This window comes from Homo sapiens, chromosome 11 (genome assembly GCF_000001405.40).
Source record: "Homo sapiens chromosome 11, GRCh38.p14 Primary Assembly".
NCBI classification, from domain to species: domain Eukaryota; kingdom Metazoa; phylum Chordata; class Mammalia; order Primates; family Hominidae; genus Homo; species Homo sapiens.
The window spans coordinates 45,855,861-45,883,278 of NC_000011.10; the positions used below are offsets into that span (position 1 = coordinate 45,855,861).

Sequence of the window (27,418 nt, forward strand, 5' to 3'; positions counted from 1 at the left end):
CCTAGTGATCATGAGGCTGCCTGTTGGGCATAAACAGCGAACCAGTTTCTCCCTGCTTTGTTAGGAAAGAGAGCCACTCTTCATGATGTTATCACTAACAAGGCCTGTGTGGACTCCACAGGTTCCTACTTCAGTCTCTGGAAGATTTGGACACAAGTTTAAGGAAACTGAACTCCCGCCTGTTTGTAGTCCGGGGACAGCCAGCCGACGTGTTCCCAAGGCTGTTCAAGGTAAGCGTGCAGAGCCCCAGAGAAGACAGTGAGATTCTGTCCCTGACGGTTTCCCCACAGCCTGAGTGATATGATATTCCGACTGAGGGAATGGAAACATCAGGGCTGGTCTGGCTGTTGCTGCTAGAGAAGTTGGGAGCAAAGGCAGCCAGTTAGCTTGCTCTTGGAATGGAAACTGTGTTAAGGAAAAAAATTCTGGGAAACCAGTGTCTTGTTGGAAAGCTCTCAGCTCAGTCCAGACATAGGATGTGGTAAGTCATTCCACTCTGGATGCCACTGGCTTCCTTCAATGTTTTCTTGGCTCAAGCCAGCCAGATTTATTAGGGTTCCTTCTAGGCCAAGACTTTGAGGTGGGGTTTCATGTCTAGCAAGGTACATTTCCCATCTTGCTTTGCTCTGCTTATTGGGAAAAGTCAGCCTTTTCTGCCGGGCGAGGTGGCTCACGCCTGTAATCCCAGCACTTTGGGAGGCCGAGGCAGGCGGATCACGAGGTCAGGAGATCCAGGCCATCCTGGCTAACATGGTGAAACCCCGTCTCTACTAAAAATACAAAAAATTAGCTGGGCATGTTGGCTGGCACCTGTAGTCCCAGCTACTCGAGAGGCTGAGGCAGGAGAATGGTGTGAACCCGGGAGGCGGAGCTTTCAGTGAGCCGAGATTGTGCCACTGCACTCCAGCCTGGGCAACAGAGCGAGACTCCGTCTCAAAAAAAAAAAAAAAAAGGTCAGCCTTTCTGAGGAAGCTTTCTTGTTTCCCATGGGGTAAATGATTGATAGAAATCTTCATTTTGGTGCCACATAGGTTTCTGTTTGCAGTAACGGGGCCAGTCCACTTTTCCCTCAATCCCTTTAAAAAGTATATTCTAAGGCCCACATAGAAGCACAGGAACTCATGGACAGAGGGCTGTGGGACAGACTGCCATCACCCTCAGCAGCACACAATGATTGTCATGCCCCTCCCCACCCTAACTCCGAGACAAAAGGAAAAGTCATGTCAAGGCAAACAGCTTAGTGAATACATCATCCTTCAATTCCCCTCCCCGTAACCCCACACATAATTGTGCATACATGTACAAATCACACAGTGCTAGTAATTGCCCACATTCATTGAGGGCTGCCTATGAGTCAAGCGCTGTTCCCAGTGCTTGTTTACATCAACTGAGTTCTTCCTCACAGCAGGCCTAAGAGGTGGCTACTGCTATCCCGATTTACAGGAGAGGAAACAGTCATTGGTTGTGAAGTTAATAAGTGACGATCTTGGATTCTGACTCTAGAGCTGTATCCTTACCCACCATACCATATAAATACATTTGCCTCCCTTCTCCCCTCGACATTGCCCTTTTTCTCCCCCAGCAACTCAGAGGCCAACCCACTTATATCCCAGAGATATAGCTAGGTCATCCATTCAGTCATGTAATGTATTTTTATTGAGCTTCTGCTAGGTACTAGGCCCCATACTAGGTATAAGGGTAATGATGATGAGTGAGACAACATGGTTTCTGCTCTGAGAGTTCACACTAATAGGGGAAACAGGCAAGTGTATCATTGTCATATAATACATGCTGCAGTGGAAAAAAGACAAGGTGCAGAAGAATTATATTGAAGGAGGAGGTCAAGAAGGCTTCTTGGAGAAAATGTAATTTAATAATATTGTTATTCACAGGTTACAATGAGTATTCAGTGATGTAACCTATATGAACTATAAGCATGGTACCTGGCATATAGCAAGGGCTCAATCAATGTTTAATGCTGATATCCTCGAATGAGGGATAACTGGCCCTGCTAAGGACCCAGTCCCCGGGCAGGGCTGAGTCAGGACCAGACCAGCCTGTGCATGGCTAGGACATTTGCCCCTGTGGTTCAGAGCTTTCAGAGACTATGACCAGAGACTTTGGAGAATGTGTTTTTCTTCTTGCAAGTTGCATGCTCTAGGGCTTTCTGTGGGTTGACTGTACAACCATTCACTGGGCCAGCTTGCTATGAGATCTAGAAATTCCTACCAGAAATGACTAAAGGCTTAGGAAAGAACTTCCTCCTTTTCAACATGTAGCCCCTCTGGTCAGTTTCCTCTGACCTCCAGACTAAGGATCGCTTCCCCTTTCCTGACTCTCTCAGGGCTGGAACCTATTAGCTCTGTTTGCTATTGGCCTCAGGAGTGTTGCTGTGGAAACAATTAAGACACTTCACATAGCACAACTCTGCCAAGAAAACTAGGCCACAAGTCTGCAGGGCTGTGAGGAGCTCTGGGAAAAGCTTGCTGAGCAGGCAGAAGGCTGTGGTCCTGTCCCACCTGTGAGTCAGTGCCACTCTCTGGGACTGGGGGTTTCCCAGGAGCGTTGTATTTATGGCCTCCTGCTGCATTCTCCTACCTCAAGGACACAGCAAGTGCACAAGGCTGCCTACCTCTCTCCCAACTCCACTGTTGCTGTGCTGTTGGCTTCGCCACACTGCCTGCCCTCCTCAAACTTTCTGAACCTCAGCTTGTTTGCTTTCCAGATCAAATCCCTGTTCCTAGTTTTTTCTGCTGCCCATCAGATAGGTCTCTAGACTAGCTCTGTTCTCTCCCAGGAAGGAACTGAGAGTCCAGCTTCCCCCTCCTCCCCAAACACAGTGTTGAGCATAACAGATCCTCTCCCCACAGGAATGGGGAGTGACCCGCTTGACCTTTGAATATGACTCTGAACCCTTTGGGAAAGAACGGGATGCAGCCATCATGAAGATGGCCAAGGAGGCTGGTGTGGAAGTAGTGACGGAGAATTCTCATACCCTCTATGACCTGGACAGGTAAGAGATGGGGCCCAGGGATCAGGTTACCAATTGTGAGAGTTAGTAATTTGGGCCCCTGCTGAGCGGAACTCAGAGAGGTTCAGCATTAGGGCTACCTGACCCAGGAGGCATGGCATCTTCTAGAAGCTGGAGGAGAATAGGCCAGAGTCAGGACCTGTAGAACAGGTCACAAAGAGCTTTACCCCATTGAGGTGGCAGAGAGGCTTGTTAGGCCCAAAGCATGGAAGCAGTGAGGACCCACACTCAGGGTATTTACAAATCTGCTCCTAGTATGCCCGAGTCCCACCTGTGCCTCATATTCCCACTTCCATCCTGCTCAACAGCTGCCCTCTGACCTCAGTGGACCCTGTCTGTTACCCCTCCAACAGACCTCTGTTCACACAGGTCCAGTTTTTGTACCTAAGATGAGTTCCTAGGCTGGGCATGCTGGCTCATGCCTGTAATCCCAGCACTTTGAGAGGATCACATGAGTCCATGAGTTCAAGATCAGCCTGGGCAACATAGTGAGACCCCCGTCTCTACTAAAAATAAATATATTAGCCATGCATGGTGGGACATGCCTGTAGTCCCAATTACTGAAGAGGCTGAGGTTGGAGGATCACTTGAGCCCAGGGGCTTGAGGCTGCCATGAGCTGTGATCATGCCACGTCACTCCAGCCTGGGTGACAGAGCAAGATCCTGTGTCAAAAAAAAAAAAAAAAGAGTTCCCAGGTTCTATGACTATCTGGGTTTCCAGGCCATGTTGCTTGGTGGCGGGGAGGGCTCTAGAGATCCCTGCAGGGAGCTGCTAACTACAGAGGAGCCTCCTCCCCTGGTGACAGCCTCTGTGCTTTCAGAGATTCTAGGAGGAAATCCTCTCCTCCCCTTCCCTGCCATGCCAGAGCTGTCACCCTCCTGCTGCTGCTGCTGCTGTTGCTGCTGCTGCCAAGCCAGCAGCCGCCGCCGCTCCCCACCCCCACTTCCCAACCCAGTGCTGGCTGCCAAGAAGCCAGGTCACACAGCTGTGCACGTGAGCCGGGCCCTCAGGAGGAGAGGCTGGGTGTGGAGATCCTCCTCCTGCTGCGTGCCAGAGGAGAGGGAGGCATAGCAGAGGCAGCAGCCGACCATATATCTCCACTAACGTGGGGAGAGCAAACTGAGAAATGAACTCACCCAGCCAGATGGGCCTTGCGTAAGCTACTTCTTGGCCAAGAAGAGCCCCGGGAATGTGGCTCCATACCATCCCAATTCATCCTTATATAAACAGCCTCCGTTCTCTTCTTCGCCCTCTGATACTCCTTCCTTCTTGCATGAGTGCAGTTATGTTTTCCCTGGTCATGAAAAATACTTTGTAAACTACAAGACTCTCTTTAAGTATCAGTTGTGGCTATGAACTCTAGCTCCAGTCTCTGAATTTGGGAGGATAAGCTGTCTTCCACCTCTCTGTTCAATGTTCTAATAAATGGAGGCTAAGAAGGGGATGATTTTCCAAGAAAGGAACATGTCTGCTATTCCTTATGATGTTAGAGTTAAAAAAAAAAAAAAAAAAAACATGTCTTCAGCTCTTATCAAAGAACTTTCTCCAGGGCTTACATGGGTGGTAGAGGCCTATGGGGATTCCCTTAGCTTGGACAGATAGGCCAAGTGCCAAGCAGGCTAGTAGGGATTTTTCTGTGATTAGAGATTTTGTCAGTCTCTGTCTTTAGGCGGCTCTGCGTCAACACCAGGGAGCCCGGAATTGAGTCCCAGCTCTGGCCCTGCCTTGCTCCATTACTGAGGCACCTGCTTCAGCTCTCTGGGCTTTATTTTCCCTCTCGGTAAAATGGAGATGCGGCCTCCCTTGCCCCCTCCTTTCCACTCAGGCATGGGACCTGTGAGTGGATGAGGAAAGCCACCCTCAAAGCCTTCAGAGTCTGGGTTCTTTTTTGGGTGGGCAGGGACCCACATCACAGGGCCATGTGGGTAACACTAGCTATGCTTTGGGCTCCCCAGGATCATTGAGCTGAATGGGCAGAAGCCACCCCTTACATACAAGCGCTTTCAGGCCATCATCAGCCGCATGGAGCTGCCCAAGAAGCCAGTGGGCTTGGTGACCAGCCAGCAGATGGAGAGCTGCAGGGCCGAGATCCAGGAGAACCACGACGAGACCTACGGCGTGCCCTCCCTGGAGGAGCTGGGTGCGTACTTCCTGCCCAGAGCCACTTGTGCTGGTGCCTGCTTTTGTGTAAAGAAATTCTTTGTGAAAGTAATGCATGTCATTATAGAAAGGTTAGAAAGCACAGGAAAACAAAAATGGAAATGGCAGTCACTATTACTCCACCACCCAGAGGTAACCACAATTAATTTTAAACTGTGTCCTTCTAGTATTTGTTCTGTTCATACTCATACATGTAATCTTCTGTTTCTGGTTCTAGATCATGCCTCTATTTTTGTACTAACCTCTCGCAGACAATACAGGCACTGCCTGGTGCTGGTGTCCATGGGCTTCTCAGTAACAAGATAGCTAGTATTGCTTCTGTTGAAAGCAGGGAATCTGTCAGCCTCTCAGATTACTAACTACACTCTTTCACCCCTCCCTCTTTCTTACCTTTTTTTTTTCTTTTTTAGACGGAGTCTGGCTCTGTTGCCCAGTCTGGAGTGCAGTGGCACAGTCTTGGCTCACTGCAACCTCCACCTCCCGGGTTCAAGCAATTCTGCTGCCCCAGCCTCCTGAGTAGCTGGGACTACAGGCGCCTGCCATCACGCCCAGCTAATATTTGTATTTTTAGTAGAGACGGGGTTTCACCATGTTGGCCAGGCTGGTCTTGAACTGGTGACCTCGAGTGATCCACCCACATCGGCCTCCCAAAGTGCTGGGATTACAGACGTGAGCCACACCTCCAGTCTTTTGATCTGAACAAAGCTATTAGCCTTTTTCACCTGAAAACCACAGTTGTTGCCAGCTAATCTGAAAAGGCAGGAGGTCCGGGATTGTTGTCATCTACCTGGAGCGATGAGGGTGCAGGGGAAAGCAGAGAAAATAGTGACTGTGGGAAGAGAACCAAGTTGACCTAGAAAACGCTAAAACTTTAAGGATTATCTAACCCCCAGTAGCACCGAGACACTGTGGTTCAATTCTCATAAAGTTCAAATAACAGAACAGCCGTGCCGGGCTATCACTGAAATGGTCAAACCTCCTGTCTTGTGACCTTTCCTTCTCTTCAGGGTTCCCCACTGAAGGACTTGGTCCAGCTGTCTGGCAGGGAGGAGAGACAGAAGCTCTGGCCCGCCTGGATAAGCACTTGGAACGGAAGGTATGGGCCGTTTCTGAGACACAGAGCTGCAGATACTGATATCCACACAGCAGGAGATACAGGTCATGTCCATGTCCTTTAGTCCCTCTTAGCTCACATTGTTTGGAAAATGAAAAATCCTCCTATCCTCCTGATGGCCATAACAACAGCAACACTAACAGCAACTACCATTTAGAGAGTACTTACCATGTGCTGGTCACTAGGCTCAGCATTTCTGGGTTAAGCACCTGCTGGCATTTCTTTTAATCTTTCCAATAGCCTGCAAGGTAGGTACTAAGCTGTTCATTCTACAGATTACAAAATTGAGGCTTAGAGAGGTTAAGTAACTTGCCTGAGGTCACAAAGTTAGTAATTACAGGTTGAGTATCCCTTATCCAAAGTGCTTGGGACCAAAAGTGTTTCAGATTTTAGATTCTTGAATTAGGAATGCTCACCTTATAACACAGTAAGACCTTGTTCTATGTTATTCTAAAGCTATGTCGGATTGCTTTTCTTTCATCTGTGGGCAGGTTCCCCCTACTAAGAGGATATCTGGTTAGTAAAATCTATAAGATTATTTTGTGTTGATGTGTCTCCGCACCTTTTTGCTGGAACTCTTTCAGCGTGTTGATTTCCATATGCTTGGACACAGAGCAAATGGCCCACCTCCCAGTGCAGTGAGAACTGGGGAGGAAAGAAGCCCAGGCCTCAGAGGCACAGTGTCACAAAGTCCTCACTCCCCTGCAGCTAGAGGAGCAGAGAAAGTTCTCATGTCCGAGAACAGTCAGCTCCTAGTTTCCTGCCCCCTGCAGCTGGTTTATAAAATGTCAGCTTTTTCTATGCCTGCTAAGATGGCTAGGTATTTTGCCTAGCAGCCAGATGATGACGATAATAGAACAAGGAGGCCAAGGCAAATCTACTTGGGAAGAATGTTCTCCAGCCCTGGAGGTGTCCAGTCAACAGTGAAGGCCCACAGCCTCGATGTTTCTACCTGGTTGTTTCCTTCAGCCTGGGACGAAAGCAAGCCCCACAGACTTAAAGGATGAGACTAGCTATCTCTGTCCACATCAAAAGGTTCACCTAGAGATTCTTGGGCCCAGTTTGAAGACAAAGGTTGGGCCAAGGGGCAGAAGGGTGGAGATGACAAATGGGATTGCAGGAGTAGAGTAAGGCTTAAACCTGTAAAGAGCTATCATCTATGGTTAGTTTTTATCAGCTGGAGAACATTTTGTAGAAGGATGTCCCTTAGGTCACCGACAGGAGCTCCTTTTCCACATACCCCCAGAGAGCGGGCCCCTTCTCTCAAGGGCCCTTACGCCATGGACATATTCAGACTCAGTGGTGCCCAGAGGAAATACTGTGTCCTGCACATCTGGGAGAACAAATGGTGCTAGAGATACAGGAGTTGAACCTGATTTCAGGATGTTTATTTTAGCTTCCTTCAGTTCTCCAAATCTGAAGGGAGCACCTACTCATGCCAGTTTAGCAATACTAGATAGAAGAAGGTATGTGCCTCTTTTCCGAAAGCACCAGGAAAAGTCCCAAGGCATGTTTTCATTGTCCTGGTTTGGGTCATGTGACTGTCCCTGACTCAATGACTGTGGCCAGGTATAGGAGGTGGTGCTTTCCCTGGCCAGACTTGCATCATGAGTCCGCTCCCAGAACTGGAAGGTAGGTTTAGCTCTGCTTTATCCACTCGGACTAGGATCAGGGAAGGCTGATTCTCCACAGGAATATGAGATGCTGTTACTGAAAAGCAGAGGAAGCTACATGATCTTTACCACTGGGTTACTCAATAGTAGATGAGGGCAAGCATCTCTCTATAAAAGTATTCTGATTATTAAATTAAAAAGGAATGGTGGAATTTGAATACCACCATTTTGTAACCCTCAATAATGATGCATTATGTATTGGTGACTGCTGACACCATAGAAGGAGGCAAGCATTATGTGCCCCCTGTAGTCTTGTCAAAGGGATCAAACCTGAGTCCAGTCCAGTTTCTGGTACTAGCCACCAATGTGCAGGTGATACACAGGACACAGCACTTGTTGAACTGCACCATGAGTATACAGTCAGCAAAATCCAGACTGTGGGAATCTTGGCAAGTCAGATGGCCTGGATTCTTTCCCAGAACAATGGAAAGGAAAAGAAAAAAATGGCATAAAATGTGCAGATTAAAAGAAAATTAAATAACATATTAAAGTTTTTTTTAAGGCCAGGCACAGTGACTCACACCTGTAATCTTAGCACTTTGGGAGGCCAAGGCAGGAGGATCTCTTGAACCTAGGAGTTCAAAACCAGCCTGGGCAACATGACAAGCCCTCATCTCTAAATAAAAACAAATTAGCCGGGTGTGGCAGCATGTGCCTGTAGTGCCAACTACTTGGGAGGCTGAGGTGGGAGAATCACTTAAGCCCAGGAAGTCATGCCACTGCACTCCTGCCTGGGTGACAGAGAGTGGGGTCTCAGAAATAAAAGAAAAAGAATCCCAGCACTTTGGGAGGCCGAGGCAGGTGGAGCACTTGAAGTCAGGAGTTCGAGACCAGCCTGGCCAACATAGTGAAACCTCATCTCTACTAAAAATACAAAAACTAGTTAGGCATGGTGGCGAGTGCCTGTAATCCCAGCTACTTGGGAGGTTGAGGCACGAGAATCGCTTGAACCTGGGAGGCGGAGGTTGCAGTGAGACGAGATCATGCCACTGCACTCCAGCCTGGTTGACAGAATGAGACTCTGTCTCAAAAAAAAAAGAAAACTGAGTAGCTGGGATTACAGGCTCCCACAATCATGCCTGGCTAATTGTTGTCCTTTTAGTAGAGACAGGGTTTCACCCTGTTGGCCTGACTGGTCTCAAACTCCTGACCGCAAGTGATCCTCCTGCCTCAGCCTCCCAAAGTGCTGGAATTACAGGCATGAGCCACCACACCCGGGCAGAAATAAAGTTTTTTAAATGGCCAAGACTAAATTGTAATACCTAGGAATGCACATTTGGGTAAAAAAAAAAAAGCTACTTAAACACAAAGAATAACTGTGAAAAGATAAAGTCCTTCCTTTCAAACGTTTTGCCAAAATAGAAAAATGTAAACATTTCAGAAATGCAGAACGTGTTTATTATAAAAGCTGAGGTAGGGGTTGCATATACTGGGGGGCAGGAGGGAACTATTCCTGGGATGAGCACATAGACTCTTGGGGTGGCTGTCAAAGCTCTGTTTCCCAAACCTTGGTGGCTATTGCGTGGATGTTTGCCTTAGAATAATTCATTAAGTCACACATGTGTGTGATTTTCTGTATCCAAGTTTCATTTAAAATAAAAATATTTTAAAAGCTGGGGGCTAGCAAGGGTGTGTACACGCAAAAATACCTAGTATCTGTTAGAAGTGCTTAACCTGATACCACAGGGGTTACCTGCAGAGGAGGAAGCCTTGAGGTTGCGACTTGAAGGAAGAGTCTCAGTTAACCAGGTGAAGGTGAGGGAAAGGAAGACAGTGGTCCAGAGGCAGCTGCTTGTGCAGAGGCAAAGGCCAGTGAGAGCAGATGCGTAAAGAAGAGGGGCAGCAGGAGGCGGAGGGTACAGTGAGCCGAGATCACACCACTGCACTCCACCCTGACCCTGTCTCAAAAAAAAGGGGCAAGAGACAGAGCTGGAAAGGCCTGGGTGCTGGGGAGCCACAGAAGCTTTCATGAAGATTTGGGCTCTGTCCTCAGAGCAACAGGAAGCCCACTGTGTACATTATCCCGAGCAACAGGCATTACATTACTCTGGTCCCAGCGTGGAGAATGAGTTAGCGGGGGATGGGAGTGGACGCAGGGAGGCCAGTCAGGAGGCTGCCACAGTTGTCCAGTCTAGATATGACCTTAGCCTGAACCAGGTTGGTGGCAGCAGGGAATGGAAAGAAAAGGACAGATTTGGGAAATATTTAGGCAGTAGAATTGACAGGACTTGGTGAGGGGACAAAGGTGATGGCTAGGATTGTGCCTTGGGCAGCTAGGTAGCTAGCAGTGTATTATCTGAGGTAGGGAGGCCAATGGAAGGGTGGGTTAAAAGAAAAGGGCACATCTCCCTTGAGCTGCCTGAGAGGCAGCCAAGTAGAGGTTTCTAGCAGGCAGCTGGGTGGAGCAATCTGGGCTAGAGCTATGGATGTGGTGGTTGTCTGCAAAGGGGTGGAACTGGGAGCCATGGGCCTGGATGAGCTTGCTGAGGCACACAGTTGAGTAGAGAACCTAGAGCTGAGCCCTGGGTACCCACATTTAAGGGAGAGGCAGAGGAGGTGGAGCTGATGAAAGACCAAGAGCGCCAGGCAGCTGGGAGATACCAGGAGATGTGGAGTCACAGAGGCCAAGGAATCAAGAGGATAAGACAGCACAGTTGGCAGGTATAGCGCTGCTGAGAGATCCCAAAATACAAGGTCAGAAAGTGCCTGCAGGACTCAGTGGCACAGAAGTCACAGGAGACTCTTGTGGGAACCAGCCTTGTGGTCACCTGAGGTTTGGAGTTAGAGACCAGCCTGGCCAACATGGCGAAACCCCATGTCTACTAAAAATACAAAAATTAGCCAGGTGTGGTGGCAGGTGCCTATAATCCCAGCTACTCAGGAGGCTGAAGAGAGTCAAGGTTGTGAAACAGTATCATGGAGAGGAGGAGAGGATGTTGGGAGTTAAGAAAGTGGAAATAGGCCGGGCACAGTGGCTCACACCTATAATCCCAGCACTTTGGGAGGCCAAGGTGGGCGATCAGGAGAATCCCTTGAACCCGGGAGGTGGAGGTTGCGGTGAGCCGAGATCACGCCACTGCACTCCAGCCTGGGTGACAAGAGCAAAACTCTGTCTCAAAAAAGAAAAAAAAATAAATAAAAAAAGTCGTGAGAGACTGCATGGAACAGCAAGTCAGGAAAGTAAAGTCCTATGCCAGCAACCAGTGATGATAAAAACATGACCAGTAATGTTATATGACACATGGCCCCAGAAATGAATGATTCCATTGGTCCCCAGGAATGGATTGGAAGTTTCCTCCTTCCCCAGCTGCTGTTGAACAATAATGCGAAGTCCCTGGTGTCTGTGATACAACCTCAGGGCCGCTAGTGACTAGAGAAGGGACTGAGATATTCTTTTCTGTAACATAGAAGCCTTGTTTCCTGCTGTATAATTAGAGAGTTCATTCAGTGCTTTCAGAATTCTTTCATATCTCATTTTAATCCACAGAAGATTGGAAATTTTGTTCTTATTTAATAGATACGTAGCTGAGGGAAGTAACAACGTGTTCACAGTCACCCCACAAATTAAAGAGCAAGTCAGAGAATGACATAGACTCGTTGTTTGGTCTGATGGTGGTTCCGTCTCAAAATCGGCTGGACAAGCACAGTGTTCCATGGCTCCATGGCTGGCTGTTCTGTGACCGTAGGCAGATTCCTTAACCACCCAATGCCTCCATTTTTTCCTCTGTTACATCCAAGCCTTTCCTTTTGCCACCTTCTCTTTCTGCTGTAGGCCTGGGTTGCCAACTATGAGAGACCCCGAATGAACGCCAACTCCCTCCTGGCCAGCCCCACAGGCCTCAGCCCCTACCTGCGCTTTGGTTGTCTCTCCTGCCGCCTCTTCTACTACCGCCTGTGGGACCTGTATAAAAAGGTAAGGGGGACATACCTGCCCACATTGCACCTAAGGCCTGCAGCCAGGCCTTTTGGGCTTGTCAGTCACCCTAAAAAAGGCACTGGTGGGTGGGGGTTGGGCTATGGCCCCTGGAAGGGCCTAAGTGTGTGCAGATAGTCCGGAGGAGGAGAGAAGACTCAATATCCAAGAGGGCAGAGCCAAGCACAGAGTGAACTGCCCACCAGAATGAAGCCCAGACCATCATGTAGAGCAGAAGGACAGGCAGAAAAGCAGGCCTCAGGTGTGACCCTAGAGGTGGCATATCCTCTGGCAGCTGGTGGACAGGGGCGAGGTCCCCAGGGTGAGAGGCATGGAGAGGGTGAGGCTGGAGCCAGTCTGAAGTGGAAGAGCATAGCTGCCCGCTCTGGAGCTGTGTCCACAGCATTCAAAAGGGGAGTCCAGGAACAGCAGTTGCCCATCAGTGATGGAGGGAGTGGTGTGGAGGGGCTGCACACAGGGCTGTGCTATACAGACAAGAAGCAAATAAGCCTGTGTTAACTGTCCCCAGAAGGAGAGAGGGCAACACAGTCAGCATTCAGAGGGATCACCTCATCTTGTGCCTATGTTTTTTGTTTCTGTTGTTTATTTAAGAGACAAAGTCTAGCTGTGTTACCCAGGCTAGAGTGTAGTGTGGCCTGATCACAGCTCACTGAAACCTCAGACTCCTGGGCTCAAGCAATCCCTCTGCCTCAGCCTCTCAAGTAGAGCTAATTTTTTACATTCTTTGTAGAGATAGGGTCTTGCTATGTTGCCCAGGCTGGTCTCGAACTCCTGGGCACAAGCAATTGTCCTGCCTTGGCCTCCCACAGTGCTGGGATTACAGCCGTGAGCCACCATGCCTAGCCGTTGTGTCTACATTTGTTTTTTTGTTTGTTTTTGAGACAGGATCTCATTCTGTCACCCAGGCTGGAGTACAGTGGTATGATCACAGCTCACTGCAGCCACAACCTTTCAGGCTCAGGTGATCCTCCTATCTCAGCCTCCCCAGCAGTTGGGACTATAGGTGCATGCCACCACACCTGGCTAATTTTTTGTATTTTTTTGTAGAAACTGGGTTTTTCCATGTTGCCCAGGCTGATCTCAAACTCCTGGGCTCAGGCCATCCACCCACCTCAGCCTCTCAAAGTGACAGATGCTAGCCACCACACCTGGCTGTATCTAGGTTTTTAAATGTTATCTCCTCATCCTTGCCATTATTGAGATTTTGTGGCATGGGATAGCTTTGCCAGTTTGGTGAGTAATCTTGTGACTTTAGGGAAGTCATTATTTGCTTGGAGGTCTGATTTCTTAATTACCTTATGGCCCCAGATCCAGGCTGTGTGTATAATTTATTCAACCAAAATCTAGACTGAGCATTTTTCATGTGTGCTGATAGGAAAATTCCTTTTGACTTTCTAGAAGGTGGAGCCAAACAGGGAACTCTTGAGGACAAGGAACATGACCAGTCTTGGGAAGTTTGAATCCTAGTGCAGAGTCCTGTGGTGAGGCCCCTTCCCACTGCCTGGCCCTCTGTAGCTTTCTTCTTGCTCAGAGCAGTGGCACAGTGCAGGCAGGGCCTGGGTGTTTCACATGCAGGCATGCTGTGCCACTTCTAGGGGATAGTCCCTCCACATCTGGCAGCTGAGCCACTAGGTCTTTGGAGGGCCCAGATTCCTTTGTAGAAGAGACCTGAGAGGCACCATGCTAAGAGCTGGGCGAGTGTTTGTATCCATGTGCCACCCCTACCTCTCAGGTGAAGCGGAACAGCACACCTCCCCTCTCCCTATTTGGGCAACTCCTATGGCGAGAGTTCTTCTACACGGCAGCTACCAACAACCCCAGGTTTGACCGCATGGAGGGGAACCCCATCTGCATCCAGATCCCCTGGGACCGCAATCCTGAGGCCCTGGCCAAGTGGGCTGAGGGCAAGACAGGCTTCCCTTGGATTGATGCCATCATGACCCAACTGAGGCAGGAGGGCTGGATCCACCACCTGGCCCGGCATGCCGTGGCCTGCTTCCTGACCCGCGGGGACCTCTGGGTCAGCTGGGAGAGCGGGGTCCGGGTGAGTGCTCTCTCAACGAAAAGCTGGCCTGTACCCTCTGGTCAGGCCCGTCAAAGGGCAGCCCCCTTCTGGGCTGAGGGATGAGGTGGGATTTCTGGGTCCAGGAGATCCCCTCCAGATCCTCTGTGGCTTGCCTTCAATGGAAGGGTTTTGGCTCCTGGGGGCACTGTGGTGACTTGGGAAAAAACATGGCTGCATGTCCCCAAGGAGGCTGATCATCCCCTCCCCTATCTAGGTATTTGATGAGCTGCTCCTGGATGCAGATTTCAGCGTGAACGCAGGCAGCTGGATGTGGCTGTCCTGCAGTGCTTTCTTCCAGCAGTTCTTCCACTGCTACTGCCCTGTGGGCTTTGGCCGTCGCACGGACCCCAGTGGGGACTACATCAGGTGAGGATACAGACCAGGCTCTCTGGCCTCTGACCACTGTGGCCTCCTACTAGGATGGGATACCCTGGGCCTTTTGAAGGAGGGTCTGGGTATGCTGATGGGTCATCTGGTGTATCTTATTTCAGGCGATACCTGCCCAAATTGAAAGCGTTCCCCTCTCGATACATCTATGAGCCCTGGAATGCCCCAGAGTCAATTCAGAAGGCAGCCAAGTGCATCATTGGTGTGGACTACCCACGGCCCATCGTCAACCATGCCGAGACCAGCCGGCTTAACATTGAACGAATGAAGCAGATTTACCAGCAGCTTTCGCGCTACCGGGGACTCTGTAAGGAGACAAACACCTAGCTCACTGAAGGGAAGGACAGCACCTACAGGCTCAGGGGGCCAGATGGGGATGTCCAGATACTTGCAAAGGGAGACTGAGTGCTGTCTTTCAGGTTGACACCTTCGCTGGGTATGGGACACTGCAGGCTGGGATGAACTGGGCCTTCCTGAGTAGTTGTGGGGCTGTGGGAGGAAATGGAACCTCAGTGTCTTGCTCCTACCCTCCCCACCCCCACTTGCTTCATCCTGCCCTGTAGCCCTCTGCAATCCTGCGAGACGGCACTCTGATTACTCCTCGCCTCTCTCCCAGGTCTACTGGCATCTGTCCCTTCCTGTGTGGAAGACCTCAGTCACCCTGTGGCAGAGCCCAGCTCGAGCCAGGCTGGCAGCATGAGCAGTGCAGGTGAGCAGCAGCAACCAACCTCCTGTGGCCTCCTGTGGCCTGTGCCACCACTTCAGTCATTCAGGACTGAGGCCAGAAGGAGGCCTTGCCCAGTGGAGCTTATATTCCACCTGGGGCAGTCAGATAGTAAAGAAACCAAGTTGGATCATTTCAGATAACAAGTGCTTTGGAGGAAAAGAAAGTTGAGTATCTTGACAGAGGGACTGGGAAAGAAGGATTTCTTCTGTGTCACTTGAGATTGGAGCAGTCAGGGAACACCTCTGTTAAGCAGAGACCCACGTCATGAGCAGGAGCCAGCCCTGCCACACACTGAGAAAATAACATTCCAGACAAAGGGAGTAGCAAGAAAAAGCTCACAAACAGTACCGAGCTTAGTCCATTCAAGGAACCGAAGGGAGGTCAGTGTAGCGGCATGTCCCAGTGAGGAGCTGGAATGAGATGAGGACAAGATACAGCATGAGCAGCATGTGGCAGGCCTGATGTCCGAGACGAGGACTAGGATTCAGCCTTCAGTGCACTGAAGGATGGTCAGTAGGGCAGGGCATGATTGGACTTAGGTCTGAAAAAGCTCCCTGGCCTGCTGGGTGGAGATTGGACAGTGTAGGCCGGAGCGGGCACAGGGAGGCCAGAGAGGAGGCAGCACAGACAGGGTGGTGGCCGCAAGGAGAAAGACTGGACAGATTCGCTGCATTCGGAGCCTCTTCCCTTCTTGGGGATGAAGATGAGTAACATGAGATGGGAAGAACACGGGTTTTTCTAGTTGGCCCAGCTAGGCTGCCTCCATGGGCAGCATGACTCCTCCACAGGGGCCCTGCTCTTTGCTGCTTGGGGAGGCTGATTCAGGGTTGCAGAGGGAATGCCTCACCTTCAAAGCAGGACAGCAGGCAGGCCAAATCAGTCTCTGGCCACAGCCCATGCCATTTGGGGCCCAAAAGCTGGTCCTGCTACCAGCAGGCCTGCTTGGTCATGTCCTCCTTGGACATTTCCAGGCAAAGTCACTGCTGAAAGCAAGGCCGAGGGGCAGGTCTGAGGAGCAGCATGCTGGCATTCCATTGATAAGTGTGCTCCCTGTCCCCTAAAGAGCTGCTGCTGCATAGTGTGGGATCATTTTGGCTGCATGCACAGTCTGTGTGACCCTTTGACACGCTTCCCTACAGGCCCAAGACCACTACCCAGTGGCCCAGCATCCCCCAAACGCAAGCTGGAAGCAGCCGAGGAACCACCTGGTGAAGAACTCAGCAAACGGGCCCGGGTGGCAGAGTTGCCAACCCCAGAGCTGCCGAGCAAGGATGCCTGAGAGTGAGTGACAGCAGCCTAGATTCAACCTCAGGAAGGAAGTTGGGAGTGGGGGGGCCTACTGCCCTGCCAGCTGCAGGTTGAAACATAGCAAACTAGATGAAAATCTGGTGGGACCACCCAATGCTCAGCCACTAAAGCTTTACCATTTTACAGTGGCAGCCGGGTTCCATCCTGGCTTAGGGAATGAGTACTTTCTGGTTGATATCTGTGTGACCTTTACCATTGGGCCGGCTATGGTGGCTCATGTATGTAATCCCAGCACTTTGGGAGGCCAAGGTGGGAGGATCGCTTGAGGCCAGGAGTACAAGACCAACCTGGCCAAACCAACATAGTGAGACTCCATCTCTAAAAACATAATAATAATAATAATAATAATCTGGTGGGACTGCATGACTTTTAGGATTTCAGCTCAAAAATCCCACCATTCTGACTTTTATCAGAGATTTAAAAGTCAAGCCCTTTTGTATTTTTTTGCCAGCTAAGGGAAAAAGGGAGGCATGGGGGCTGAGGGGTGGCGCTTTCTACCTATTAAAATGAGTCACACTCAAGAGAAAGAAAGCTGAGACCTGCGTGTGAAGCAGCGGGGAAAAGGCGCATTGCAGGGTCTGAGGCTGCTCCAGGCCCCCTGCTTTCCGACAGGCTGTGTTCTATAGGCCAGCCAGTGGAGGGCAGCACTGACCTTGAGAAGCCTGGACAGAGGGCTGTGCTGTGTCTTACTTGGCCCAGCCCTGCCTGAGGACCAGTAGACCCAGTCTGTCATCATCTTTGCCTTTTGCGGCCTCTCCTCCCTTCTCACCCATCCTGTGGCCTCAGCTCTGCACCTCCCTGGCAGCGCTCATCTTGGAAGCCTCCTGAATGTCATCAAAACACTGGCTTCTCCTTTCCCAAGGGAGGAAGGGCCTTTTATGCCACTCTTGGGGAAATGTAAATTCCTGTCCCCTCTGAGTCATCATCTCAAGCTGTTCCTTATGCACCATGTCTTCGTCATTAGATTGGAGGGTGATTTTTCTCCATGGAGCTGATAGGTTCTTTTTATCAGATCCCTCTTACTTCAGGGCCAGGCCGCAGCCATCTGGTTTGAGTGTCTGGATTTGTGTGCTCACTGAGATGGGCATTTGATGCCTGCACCCTTCACCTTTCCTGGGCTCTTTGACATAGACATTGCTGATGGACAGATGTGTGCTATCTTGTTCCTGGGAGTACCAGCAACCTACTACTCTCTCAGTTATCTCTTAGCTCTGTGATACTAAGCAAAGTTCATCCTGTATTACAAATTTGGAACTTGCCAGGCTGACACTCTGATTTTCGGATGAGAAGACCAAAGAACAGAGAGGTTAAATGTCTGGGTCAAGGTTGCTCAGTAAGCTAATGGTGTCCAATTCAACATGAAATTGTTGCCAGCAGGTGGGTGAAGAAGGGGGAGCATTAAACATATAAAATGTGATGTGCTGTCCATCCATAAGGATTGAACAGTCTGCTTAGATAAAAAGGAACAATAACCTAGAATTCCTGGACAAATGATACAGACTATACAAGCTTAGCAGAAGGCTGCTGGTGTGGTCTGGAACAATCAGGGAACATATCACAGAAGTTTGCGCTAGGGGGCCTGAAAAGTGAATTGGATTCAGGCAGTGAGCAGGGCGCTTAGGACAAGAAAAACAGCTGAAGGTTTATGTGATCTTGTACAAATGACTTAACTGCTATGGGACTCAGTTTCCTCACCTATAAATTAGGTTGCTGTTGCAAGAATTAAATGATTAAATCTGGGCCGGGCGCAGTGGCTCATGCCTATAATCCCAGCACTTTGGGAGGCCGAGGTGGGTGGATCACCTGAGGTTGGGGGTTCGAGATCAGCCTCATCAGCTTGGAGAAACCCCGTCTCTACTAAAAATACAAAATTAGCTGGCATGGTGACGTATGCCTGTAATTCCAGCTACTCGGGAGGCTGGGGCAAGAGAATCACTTGAACCCGGGAGGCAGAGGTTGCAGTGAGCCGAGATCGTGCCATTGCACTCCAGCCTGGGTGACAAGAGCAAAACTCTGTCTAAAAAAAAAAAAAGATTAAATGTGTATGTGTCAGCTAGAAATGTGGGGGTCTATTAATAATAGCTCAATTACTGTGGCTAAAACAAATAGGGGCTTATTTTTCTTACCTAACAAGGGGCCCAGAGATAGTGTTGCTGGTCTGGGCTTGGGTGGCAGCCCCAGCTTCAGCCATCAATTCTTGATCAAAGAGGAAAGAGAAGGGACAGCAAGGGCAGCTGCACTCCTTCCGTACACATGTCAAGAGCTCATGTTTTGCCAGACACCATTCCAGGCATTGAGGGTATGGTTGTATACAAGACTGGCAATATCACTTCCCCCTTGGGTGCATATTAGTGGAAGGAGACAGACAGTAAACAAATAAATATTTAAAATTTAAAGAGGCCAGCCGGGCGTGGTGGCTCACACTTGTAATCCCAGCACTTTGGGAGGCTGAGGCAGGTGGATCACGAGGTCAGGAGTTCGAGACCAGCCTGGCCAACATGGTGAAATGCTGTCTTTACTAAAAATACAAAAATTAGCCAGGCGTGGTGGCAGGTGCCTGTAGTCCCAGCTACTTCGGAGGCTGAGGCAGGAGAATCACTTGAACCCGGGAGGCAGAGGTTGCAGTGAGCCAAGATCGTACCACTGCACTCCAGCCTGGGTGACAGAGCTAGACTCAGTCTCACAAAAAAAAATTTCAGGAGGCCATCAGTGCTATGAAAACAATAAAATAAAGTTGAGTAAGAAAGTAAGGTCGGGGCACAGAAGAGGCTGCAGTTCTGTATTATAAGGGTTGCTGGTCCAGGGACCATACTTGGAGAATCACTGACTTAGACCAATCATAATCCATTTTCTGGGTGAAGCCCATTGCCTCCTGAACACATTTTAGGTTCTGTTAACCAGGAAGTGTGGATACTGGTAGACAGCTAATGGTGACTGCTTTATAGGCAAGACACTTACTCAAGTGTGTGGGTCATGAGTGCTTGGTAAGCAGTAGTTATTATTGTAGGTATTGTTATTATTGTAGAGGACACAAGGTTACAGTTGGGTCTGATTATGGAGGGTTGTAAATGGCAGGCACATGAGTCTGCTATGTACTCTTTGGGAGTGAAGAAACATTTTGGAACAGGAATGATCAAATTGGCATTTTGGGAGGATGAATTAGGCATTGGGCTGGGACCTGCAGAGGAACAGGTTGGGGAGAGAAAGTCAGCTGAGAGGCTTGACAGTGATTCCAAGGGAAGACATGACAAGGATGCAGAGGTAAATGCCCGTCTCTTGCCCTGGAGTCCAGAAGATTGTCAGCCTACTGGGATTTTAAGGACTGATTCTTGAGGTTTACTCTGCCCTCCACTGGTGGCTCAGTGGGGAGTTAGGCCAGGCTAGACTGTGAAGGTTGGGGGTGCAGAGGTCAGAGGATCTGGGGTGGTGCAGACTTCCCTCCAAGACAGACTAGGGAGGAACAGCTGTGTTCTTTGGAAATCCTGAGAGAAGAAGAGTACACCATGTCTCACCATGTGCTGGCAGAGGCACCTGGGCCTAAAGATGCTTAGCATCCTCAGCTGTAAAATGGTGATAATAGCATCTTGTCACCTGCCCTACCCATCGAAAAAGTCTTTGAATATGTAAAATGCACTATGCAAATGGAATCACATTATCATCTTGCACTTTCTTCTCTGGGTGTCTTTGATTATGTTGGTGTTACTTCAGTCAGAGCCAGCACCCTAAGCTGAATGGACCACAGAGCTGTGGCTATGTAGCCCAAATTGGTATCATATTATATTGGGTTGGGGGAGGGGAGTGGCAGGGAGACTTGCCCCTCTTTCCTCCATTTCCTCTGTAATTTTTAATTGTGTGACTTTGGGCTGGATCCATAGCCTTTCTGCCATGCTTTAGGTGTAAGATGTGAATAGTCATTCTTCATCAGCCTGAAGGCTACATCCTGGGCCTTTTGAGGTCTCCTTTAGCTCTGAGCTCTATAGTTCTGGATTCTGTTTTTCTAATGCCTCAGGCCTGTGGCAGTGTACAGGGTGTACAGTCACTTAAAATTTAAACTGATCTGGTAGGAAAGCATGGCCTCCAATCAGTAGGTTCTACACTTACCTCAGATCCACACCAGCTATCTGTTCTGCATTAAGTTTTATTTTACAGCATTCACTAAACTGAAAAACAAGCCAGCCCCCAAATAGCTATTGTTTCAAATGGTTCCCCATAATCCCCAAAGCTGCTGACTGCTCCGGATTCCATTAGCCTTGAATTGTGTACAGATTTCTCTCATTGGTCCAATTATTTTGCCATGGGGAGAACAGCTCACGTGTTCCATTTGCCCTTCTGCTGGTACAGACTGATCTGTGGAGAGAAGCCCCACTGAATACAAAAGGTTCCCGGCCAAGGATCACCTCTTCCCCTCCCCCGCGGGCTTTTGTTAGCTCTGCAGTAAGCCTGACTGGGTAGATCATCGAGTAAAACCTGACTTCTGGATTCTCCTTGATGTCTTTTTGACACTAGTTTAGTTGTATACTCTGTCCTTGTAAGGTGAAAGGCACTAGCAATTGGTAAAATGCTAAATAGTGGAAGTGAAGGCAGTGTGGCATTGGCCAGAGAGCCCTGCATTATACTCAGACTAGTGTCTGCATCCCAGACCTGCCAGCATTACACTCAAACTAGTGTCTGTGTCCCAGACCTGCCACTTGCCTCTTGTGAGACTCCACCCAAATAGTCTCACCTCTCTGTTCCTGCCTTTAAAATCAGAGGCAGGATTCTCTGTTCCTGCCTTTAAAATCAGAAGTTTAGACTCATATCCCCTAGCGCTTTCCCTGGCACTTCATAAGTAGGCGTTGACTGATGGCTGTCCCTTCCACTTTCTTGCATGATCTGCATGCTGTGGGAAGGGTAAAGGTGTGGTTGACCTGAGGAATGAGATTGAGCTCAGAGCTTCAGCTCTCTCCCCCATCCAGGCCCAGCTGTACTTCCCTGACCCTCACTTGGAAGCAGGTAGCGAACCCTCTGCCTTTCTCAAGCTCTTGGGCACTGTGCCTTGCCCAATATGATGGGGAGAGGGAAACATTGAGACTCGGTGACAGTCTGCAAACAAAGTTTCCTCCAAACCATCAGCTGTTGTGGACCCTCTGCCAGCATAAACTCATGCCTGCACACGTGCATCCACCCCTCCAGGGCGAGGAGCATAGGGACGGGCAGACTTATACACTTGGGTTCTTGATAGCATCTAATGGATGGGAAGGGATGTGAGGGCAAAGGTACCCAGGAGGCCATGCTAACTAACATTGGGTTGCAGAGGGAGACAGTCGTTAACGCTTTTTGTTCTAGCCGCCACTGTGTTTCTTGTATCAATGACAGGTTGAAAGAGTTGGACAACTAAGAGATTGATTTTTCAGTGAATGTTTTATGAGTTGATTTTCCCTTGGTGCCTCCCCTTGGCTGTTCTTCCCTTCCCTTTAGTCCTGCTATCATCATTTTTTTGCAAGACCTCATTTGATTTCCCCAGACCCCTTTTTCTACAGACGCATGCCCTAGCTTGAGGACAAGAGCATGGCACCAACTAGTTATCTGCTGATCAAGCAGCTCGAGTAACTAGTTGAACAGGCCTTTGGCTAGCTTTGTAGGCGAGGCCAAGTTGGTTCTTCTAAACCTTGGTTTTCTGCATTGGTAGCTTTGAAACCATCATAGAGGGACTTGGGTGACTAGGGCTTATCTGAGTCCAGGACACTGCCCCCTCCCTTCATGAGCCTGCCCAAAACTAACTGGTGCCGAAGTCAACATATGTCTGAATTGTTATCATTATATCCACCTGACTGTACCTCACCCTCTTATCTTCTAAGCTTAGGCATTGGTTCTTAAACCCTGTTTGGGTTACTCCCCACTTTGGAAAGTCGATGGAGGATGGAACCCATACCCAGAAAACTGCATATGTTCACACACAGAGAGGAATGTGCACATCACTCCAGAGGCTCCATGGACTGCACCAAAGCCTATCCTTGGGCTCCTTAAGGCCCAGGAACCCCAGATTAACAGCAGTTATTCTAAGGAATCTTCATGCACTCTTTATCTTCCCCCATCCCTGAAAATGGATAAAACACACACAAAAAAAATGGAGGTGTTGGGCAAGGAGGACCTTTTGTGGTATATCCTGCAATCCTGAAAGTTTTCTATTTCAGAAGAATAGCCATCTCTTTAGTTTAACAACAGGGGCCAGAGAGAGCCCTGTGTGTGGAGTATATACTCAGAATCAGCACATTTCAATAAATACATGTACACCTTAATAATACATACATTTGTAGCAAAAAAATGGCTAGGTTATTATAGTACAAGCTTAAAGGGAAAAATTATTGAAAATAACACACATTTTAAAGAATAAAACACACAGCCAGGTGCGGTGGCTTACGCCTGTAATCCCAGCACTTTGGGAGGCTGAGGGGGGCGGATCACCTGAGATCAGGAGTTCAAGACCAGCCTGGGCAACATGGTGAAACCCCATCTCTACTAAAAGTACAAAAATTAGTTGTGGTGGCAGGTGTCTGTAATCCCAGCCACTTGGGAGGCCAAGGCAGGAGAATTGCTTGAACCCAGGAGGCAGAAGTTGCAGTGAGCCAAGATCGCGCCACTGCACTCTAGCCTGGGCAACAGAACAAGACTCCATCTATTAAAAAAAAAAAAAAAAAAAAAAAAAAAAGTCGGGCTCGGTGGCTCACTCCTGTAATCCCAGCACTTTGGGAGGCTGAAGTGGGTGGATCACCTGAGGTCAGGAGTTAGAGACCAGCCTGACCAACATGGAGAAACCCCATCTCTACTAAAAATACAAAATTAGCCAGGTGTGGTGGCACATGCCTGTAATCCCAGCTACTCAGGAGGCTGAGGCAGGAGAATCGCTTGAACCTGGGAGGCAGAAGTTGCAGTGAGCCAAGATCACTCCATTGCACTCCAGCCTGGGCACTAAGAGTGAAACTCTGTCTCAAAAAAAAAAAAAGAATAAGACACACAGTACTGACCTATACAGGCACCCACTCTTATGTCTGCTCTTTATTTTGCCCAGCTTCCAGATAAATTATCATCAGATAAAATCTGCTTCAGATTTACCATGCGGCCTTAAAAGCATCGCATGATACTGAATCCTTGTCTCCAATGTCTTTGACTTTAAGAGCATTTTCCCTTTTCTAATAACAGCTTAATTCACATGTATGTCTGTTGGATATTAGTCTTCATGCTGCCATGTTGAATTTCTTCTAAAAGTCTTCTTCTCTAAAAGTCTTAATGAGCAATACTATCGTATAGAGATTACTTGCTAGTAAAAAGACAGATTTGAGAATCAGACAGATGTGGATTTCCTTTTTTGGCTCTGCCACTTATGAATGCTGTTGTCCTGGGCAAGTTCCTTCTCCTCTCTGGTTTCTGTTTTCTCATCTACAAAAATGGAGGGCAAGCTTCAAGGTTACTGGGATCTCAAGTTGTGTTAGTCTGCTCAGGCTGCCATGACAAAGTACCACAGACTGGGTGGCTTAATCAAGAGAAATGTGTCCTCTCACTGTTCTGGAGGCTGGAAGTCTAAGATCAAAATGTTGCCAGGGTTGGCTTCTTTTCTTCTGAGGCTCCTCTCTGTGGCTTATAAACAGCCATCTTCTCCCTATGTCTTCACATGGTCTTCCCTCTGTACTGTCTGGGTCTAAATTTCCTCTTCCTTTAAGGACACCAGTCATATTGGATTAGGGCCCACACTAATGACCTCATTTAACTTAATTACCTCTTTAAAGACCCTGTCTCCAAATACAGTCACCTTCTGGGGTACTGGGGGTTAGGACTTCAACATAAGAATTTTGTGGGGGACAGAATTCAGCCACAGCACAAGTGTATAGTACCTGACCCACGGCAGGCTTAGTAAGCCTACTTATTGTCTACCTCACCCACATTTAAACTGCACAAACTTTTAATGGGACGCTGTGTGTCTCTGTAGACTCCCAGACACACTAAACCTATTTAAACAGACAACTCAGCATTGTGACAGGCGCACTCTGTCCTTCCTTTATTATCAGGGATGAAGCTGTTTCTTCTCTTTGCCCCAGATTCCGGATGTCATAAATCTTTAAAATGAGTCATCCTTGTGTCTCCTCTCTCCCTCCTGCCCCCACAATCTTCCAGCACTGTGCCAGGGTGCTTTCATCTATATGTGGAAATGTGCTCACCTGCTGATTGTAAACTCAGTCATTGCCTTACTCTTCAAAATTACTGGTCCCAGCGGGCTTCTCTTCCAGCCATTTTTTCCTGATTCTCCATCTCTGGCAGCAGCTGCTGTGCCTTGATTCAGAAGCTGCCCTTGTCATATCTGAGCAAGTATCCCCCAGGGCTTCACGTGACTCTCACATAGCCTTGTCCTCCTCCTCCTCTGCTGTCCGCAGCCCTGGGTGGAGGGCCTGCAGTGGGGAGCTTGTCCTGCATCAGCACCTCAGAGGGGCAGTATTCCCTCATCCCAGTGGCATCCCAGCAACAACCTGTCCCCAGGTACCGTGGCCCTTTCAGCTCACTCTTTCAGCTCTTCTCAGGTCCCGCTCTGAATGTCCCCAGAGAAGCAGCCAGAGGAGCTTGTGTCCCTGGGCAACTGAGCAGCCTCCTGAATGCTCCTTTTGCACTTGTTTTTCTCTTCCAGCTGCAGAGCCCTTGCTCCGTGAGCAAAGCCTGGGTGCCCAAGCAGCCACCGCAGCAGCAGAGTACAACCTGCAGAGAAGCTGATCACCGGGCAGAGATAGAGCGAGCATGTGTGTGTGTGTGCGCGTGTGCAGAGGAGGGAGTGGTGTGCCTGTTTGTGTGTGCATGCATCTGTTGACACTCATGATTCTGAATGTTGCCTGGGCTGGGGGAGTACCTGTAGCACGCCAGTGCTGTTTCCCGGCCTCCAGACACAAGGCTCGAGGTTATGGCAGTGACTTTCAGCTGAGACCTGTTCCTGCAAGCCAGCTGCCTTGTCTGAACAGAACGTAGTGGTAGGACCCTAGCTGGGATTCTGGCATCTGCCTCCCTAGACCTCCTTCCCTCCCTCCTCACGTCAGGCTGTGGAGCAGGAGCACAGCAGTTCTGGCTGTTGTCCAAAGCATGGGATTCTGGAGGCAGCCAGAGCCCTGCTGAGTTCCTGCTTTCTGACCTGGAGGCTGAGCAGGCCGGAGTGGATGGATGCTGTCCAGACGTAGCCACCTGGCCTCTGTTTCTTATTTTAAAATTCTCTGCTACTGGGCTCAGTCCCAGGCCCTTCCTTGGGCTTCTGGGACTGAGCATGAGGCCATAGACAGATCTAAAAAGTTTCCACCACCCTACAGAAGTACACACAGATACCTGACTGGTGTGGGGTATGCCTGGTACTGTAATAGGAGCCTAAGACAGCACACCTACCTTTTCAGGATTTAGAACCTAAAATTAGAAAGAGAATCCCAGCTGTCATTGTTCCTTCCCCAGAAGCTAAGAGCCAGCCTCAGAGCCTACCCAGGAGCTGTGAAGGGGCAAGGGTCAAACTGACTCACTCTACCAGGAGGAGACCAGGTTGCAGTGGCGTAAGGCCCCCTGGTTTCTCTGGCCACACTCCAAGGCACCACAGTGCTGCCAGTGAGGACAGCTGACACCCAGCCAGGGAAACCATTCTAGTCTTTATTCTGTTGGCTTCCAGGGCCTGTCCTGGACTTGTCAGCATCCAGACTGCCATGTCAGCTATCCCAGTAGCTGAGCTCCAAGGACTCAGGCAGAGGGACTCAGGGATGGGGACTGCCAGGGGCAGTTGGCAAAAGTCCAAGTAGAGATTACACCCAGAACACCATTCCTTCCAGGAGCAGTAGGTGGGAGGTTTGACCCAGAGAAGCCAATCCTTGCATTCCAGGAGTGGCCTGTGCCTCCCACCTCTTCCTTCCCACTGCCAAAGGCCTGTGTTGAGAAAGATGTCATGCAAAAGGACGACGGTGGCCAACTAAAGCAAGTCTTCCTTCCACCCTGTGGCCTGCACTTGAGCCACAAAGTGTGTGTGTGTGTGTGCGTGTGTGGTACGTGTGTGTGTGTGTGGCTATGAGGCTGATTCCTGTTTGGATTTTTGTCCTCACGTGTATCATTAAGCTGGCCTTTGGGCCTTTTCCTTTCTACCTCCCCTGTGACCTTTCCTAGCCTCAGATCTGTTAATTCTTTTGGCCCCAGCCCTGTCCCTCACTGTCCTCTGTCCTTGGACCAGAACCCTGGGGTCAGACCCATCTCCTGTAGCTGTCCATCACACTGACAGGCTTCTTCCTGAGATATCCTCAGGTTTTCTCAGCCAGAGAGCTGCCTTTAGAGTCCAACTGTTGTACGTATGTCACCTTCACTAGAAATGTCCCATCATCGTGGGAGGGGAGCAGGGCACAGGGGATGGTGTGCATTCAGAGCATTGGGTTGGGGGCTTCCCTGTTCCCTCAGCCCCAGTCGAGAGGAAAGAGAATCGGGCCACTGCCAGAAAGAGAGTCAAGCAAACCTGGAAGGGCAAATCTGAGAGTGGGAAGGCCAAAGGCCGAGGCCCAGATTTAGTATTCACTAGCAGCGCCTTCGGGTAGCAGGATGATTCCTTTTCCTGCCTGTCTGCTGCTGGCTCTCTTCCCTAAGGTACAGGTTGGCAGGACCACCTCCGCCTACTTCTCCACCATCCCTAGCATGTCAGCCCGTTCCCAGATCAACCTGCCAGTGGAGTCAGGCAGTGCACTCCTGGAGCCAAGAGGGAAGGGCAGGGTAGAGAGGGTATGTCCAGTAGCCTGGAGCTCCATGGTGGCTTCATGCCTCCCTTCTCCCAGCTCAGGTGGCCCTGAGGGCTCCCTCGGAACAGTGCCTCAAATCCTGACCCAAGGGCCAGCATGGGGAAGAGATGGTTGCAGGCAAAATGCACTTTATAGAGATTTTCTATTGCTGGGAAGGTGTGTTTCTCCCACAATTTGTTTGTGAATATTCACTTGTTTTATAAATGTCTGACCTGTCTTGAGTAAGTTTGTGCTGTCGTCAATCTTGTGGGAGGC

General features: G+C 49.4%; 1 protein-coding gene across 2 annotated transcripts in view, besides 7 other annotated features; it reads left to right on the forward strand.

Annotated features, from left to right (window-relative positions):
- The window catches only part of CRY2 (cryptochrome circadian regulator 2), a 36,127-nt gene extending 8,743 nt beyond the window's left edge, over positions 1–27,384 (forward strand). For both annotated transcript variants that reach the window (NM_001127457.3, NM_021117.5), the window contains exons 2-12: positions 122–230; positions 2,871–3,013; positions 4,988–5,172; positions 6,200–6,288; positions 11,752–11,892; positions 13,646–13,957; positions 14,193–14,344; positions 14,470–14,672; positions 14,982–15,074; positions 16,232–16,373; positions 25,054–27,384. In NM_001127457.3, the coding sequence (NP_001120929.1) occupies positions 122–230; positions 2,871–3,013; positions 4,988–5,172; positions 6,200–6,288; positions 11,752–11,892; positions 13,646–13,957; positions 14,193–14,344; positions 14,470–14,672; positions 14,982–15,074; positions 16,232–16,371 (1,567 nt within the window). In that variant the 3' untranslated portion in view covers positions 16,372–16,373; positions 25,054–27,384. The remainder of the gene's footprint in view (positions 1–121; positions 231–2,870; positions 3,014–4,987; positions 5,173–6,199; positions 6,289–11,751; positions 11,893–13,645; positions 13,958–14,192; positions 14,345–14,469; positions 14,673–14,981; positions 15,075–16,231; positions 16,374–25,053) is intronic.
- Positions 3,253–4,452: an enhancer, noted in NCBI's record as "BRD4-independent group 4 enhancer chr11:45880664-45881863 (GRCh37/hg19 assembly coordinates)". NCBI's record gives its function as "activates an origin of replication core promoter dependent on BRD2, P300/CBP, MED14 and CDK7 cofactors, and independent of BRD4, by STARR-seq in HCT116 cells {active_cell/tissue: HCT116}" and the evidence as "EXISTENCE:reporter gene assay evidence [ECO:0000049][PMID:35650434]".
- Positions 3,446–3,991: an enhancer, noted in NCBI's record as "H3K4me1 hESC enhancer chr11:45880857-45881402 (GRCh37/hg19 assembly coordinates)". NCBI's record gives its function as "activates a minimal SCP1, AML or CMV promoter by ChIP-STARR-seq in naive H9 embryonic stem cells {active_cell/tissue: H9 hESC(naive)}" and the evidence as "EXISTENCE:reporter gene assay evidence [ECO:0000049][PMID:30033119]".
- Positions 4,963–6,162: an enhancer, noted in NCBI's record as "CDK7 strongly-dependent group 2 enhancer chr11:45882374-45883573 (GRCh37/hg19 assembly coordinates)". NCBI's record gives its function as "activates an origin of replication core promoter dependent on BRD2, BRD4, P300/CBP, MED14 and CDK7 cofactors, with strong dependence on CDK7, by STARR-seq in HCT116 cells {active_cell/tissue: HCT116}" and the evidence as "EXISTENCE:reporter gene assay evidence [ECO:0000049][PMID:35650434]".
- Positions 4,963–6,392: a biological region, named in NCBI's record as "CDK7 strongly-dependent group 2 enhancer GRCh37_chr11:45882374-45883573".
- Positions 6,098–6,392: a silencer, noted in NCBI's record as "tiled region #13574; HepG2 Repressive non-DNase unmatched - State 15:Elon". NCBI's record gives its function as "represses a minimal TATA promoter and a strong SV40 promoter by Sharpr-MPRA in HepG2 cells {active_cell/tissue: HepG2}" and the evidence as "EXISTENCE:reporter gene assay evidence [ECO:0000049][PMID:27701403]".
- Positions 6,098–6,392: an enhancer, noted in NCBI's record as "tiled region #13574; K562 Activating DNase matched - State 15:Elon". NCBI's record gives its function as "activates a minimal TATA promoter and a strong SV40 promoter by Sharpr-MPRA in K562 cells {active_cell/tissue: K562}" and the evidence as "EXISTENCE:reporter gene assay evidence [ECO:0000049][PMID:27701403]".
- Positions 9,640–10,141: an enhancer, noted in NCBI's record as "H3K27ac hESC enhancer chr11:45887051-45887552 (GRCh37/hg19 assembly coordinates)". NCBI's record gives its function as "activates a minimal SCP1, AML or CMV promoter by ChIP-STARR-seq in naive H9 embryonic stem cells {active_cell/tissue: H9 hESC(naive)}" and the evidence as "EXISTENCE:reporter gene assay evidence [ECO:0000049][PMID:30033119]".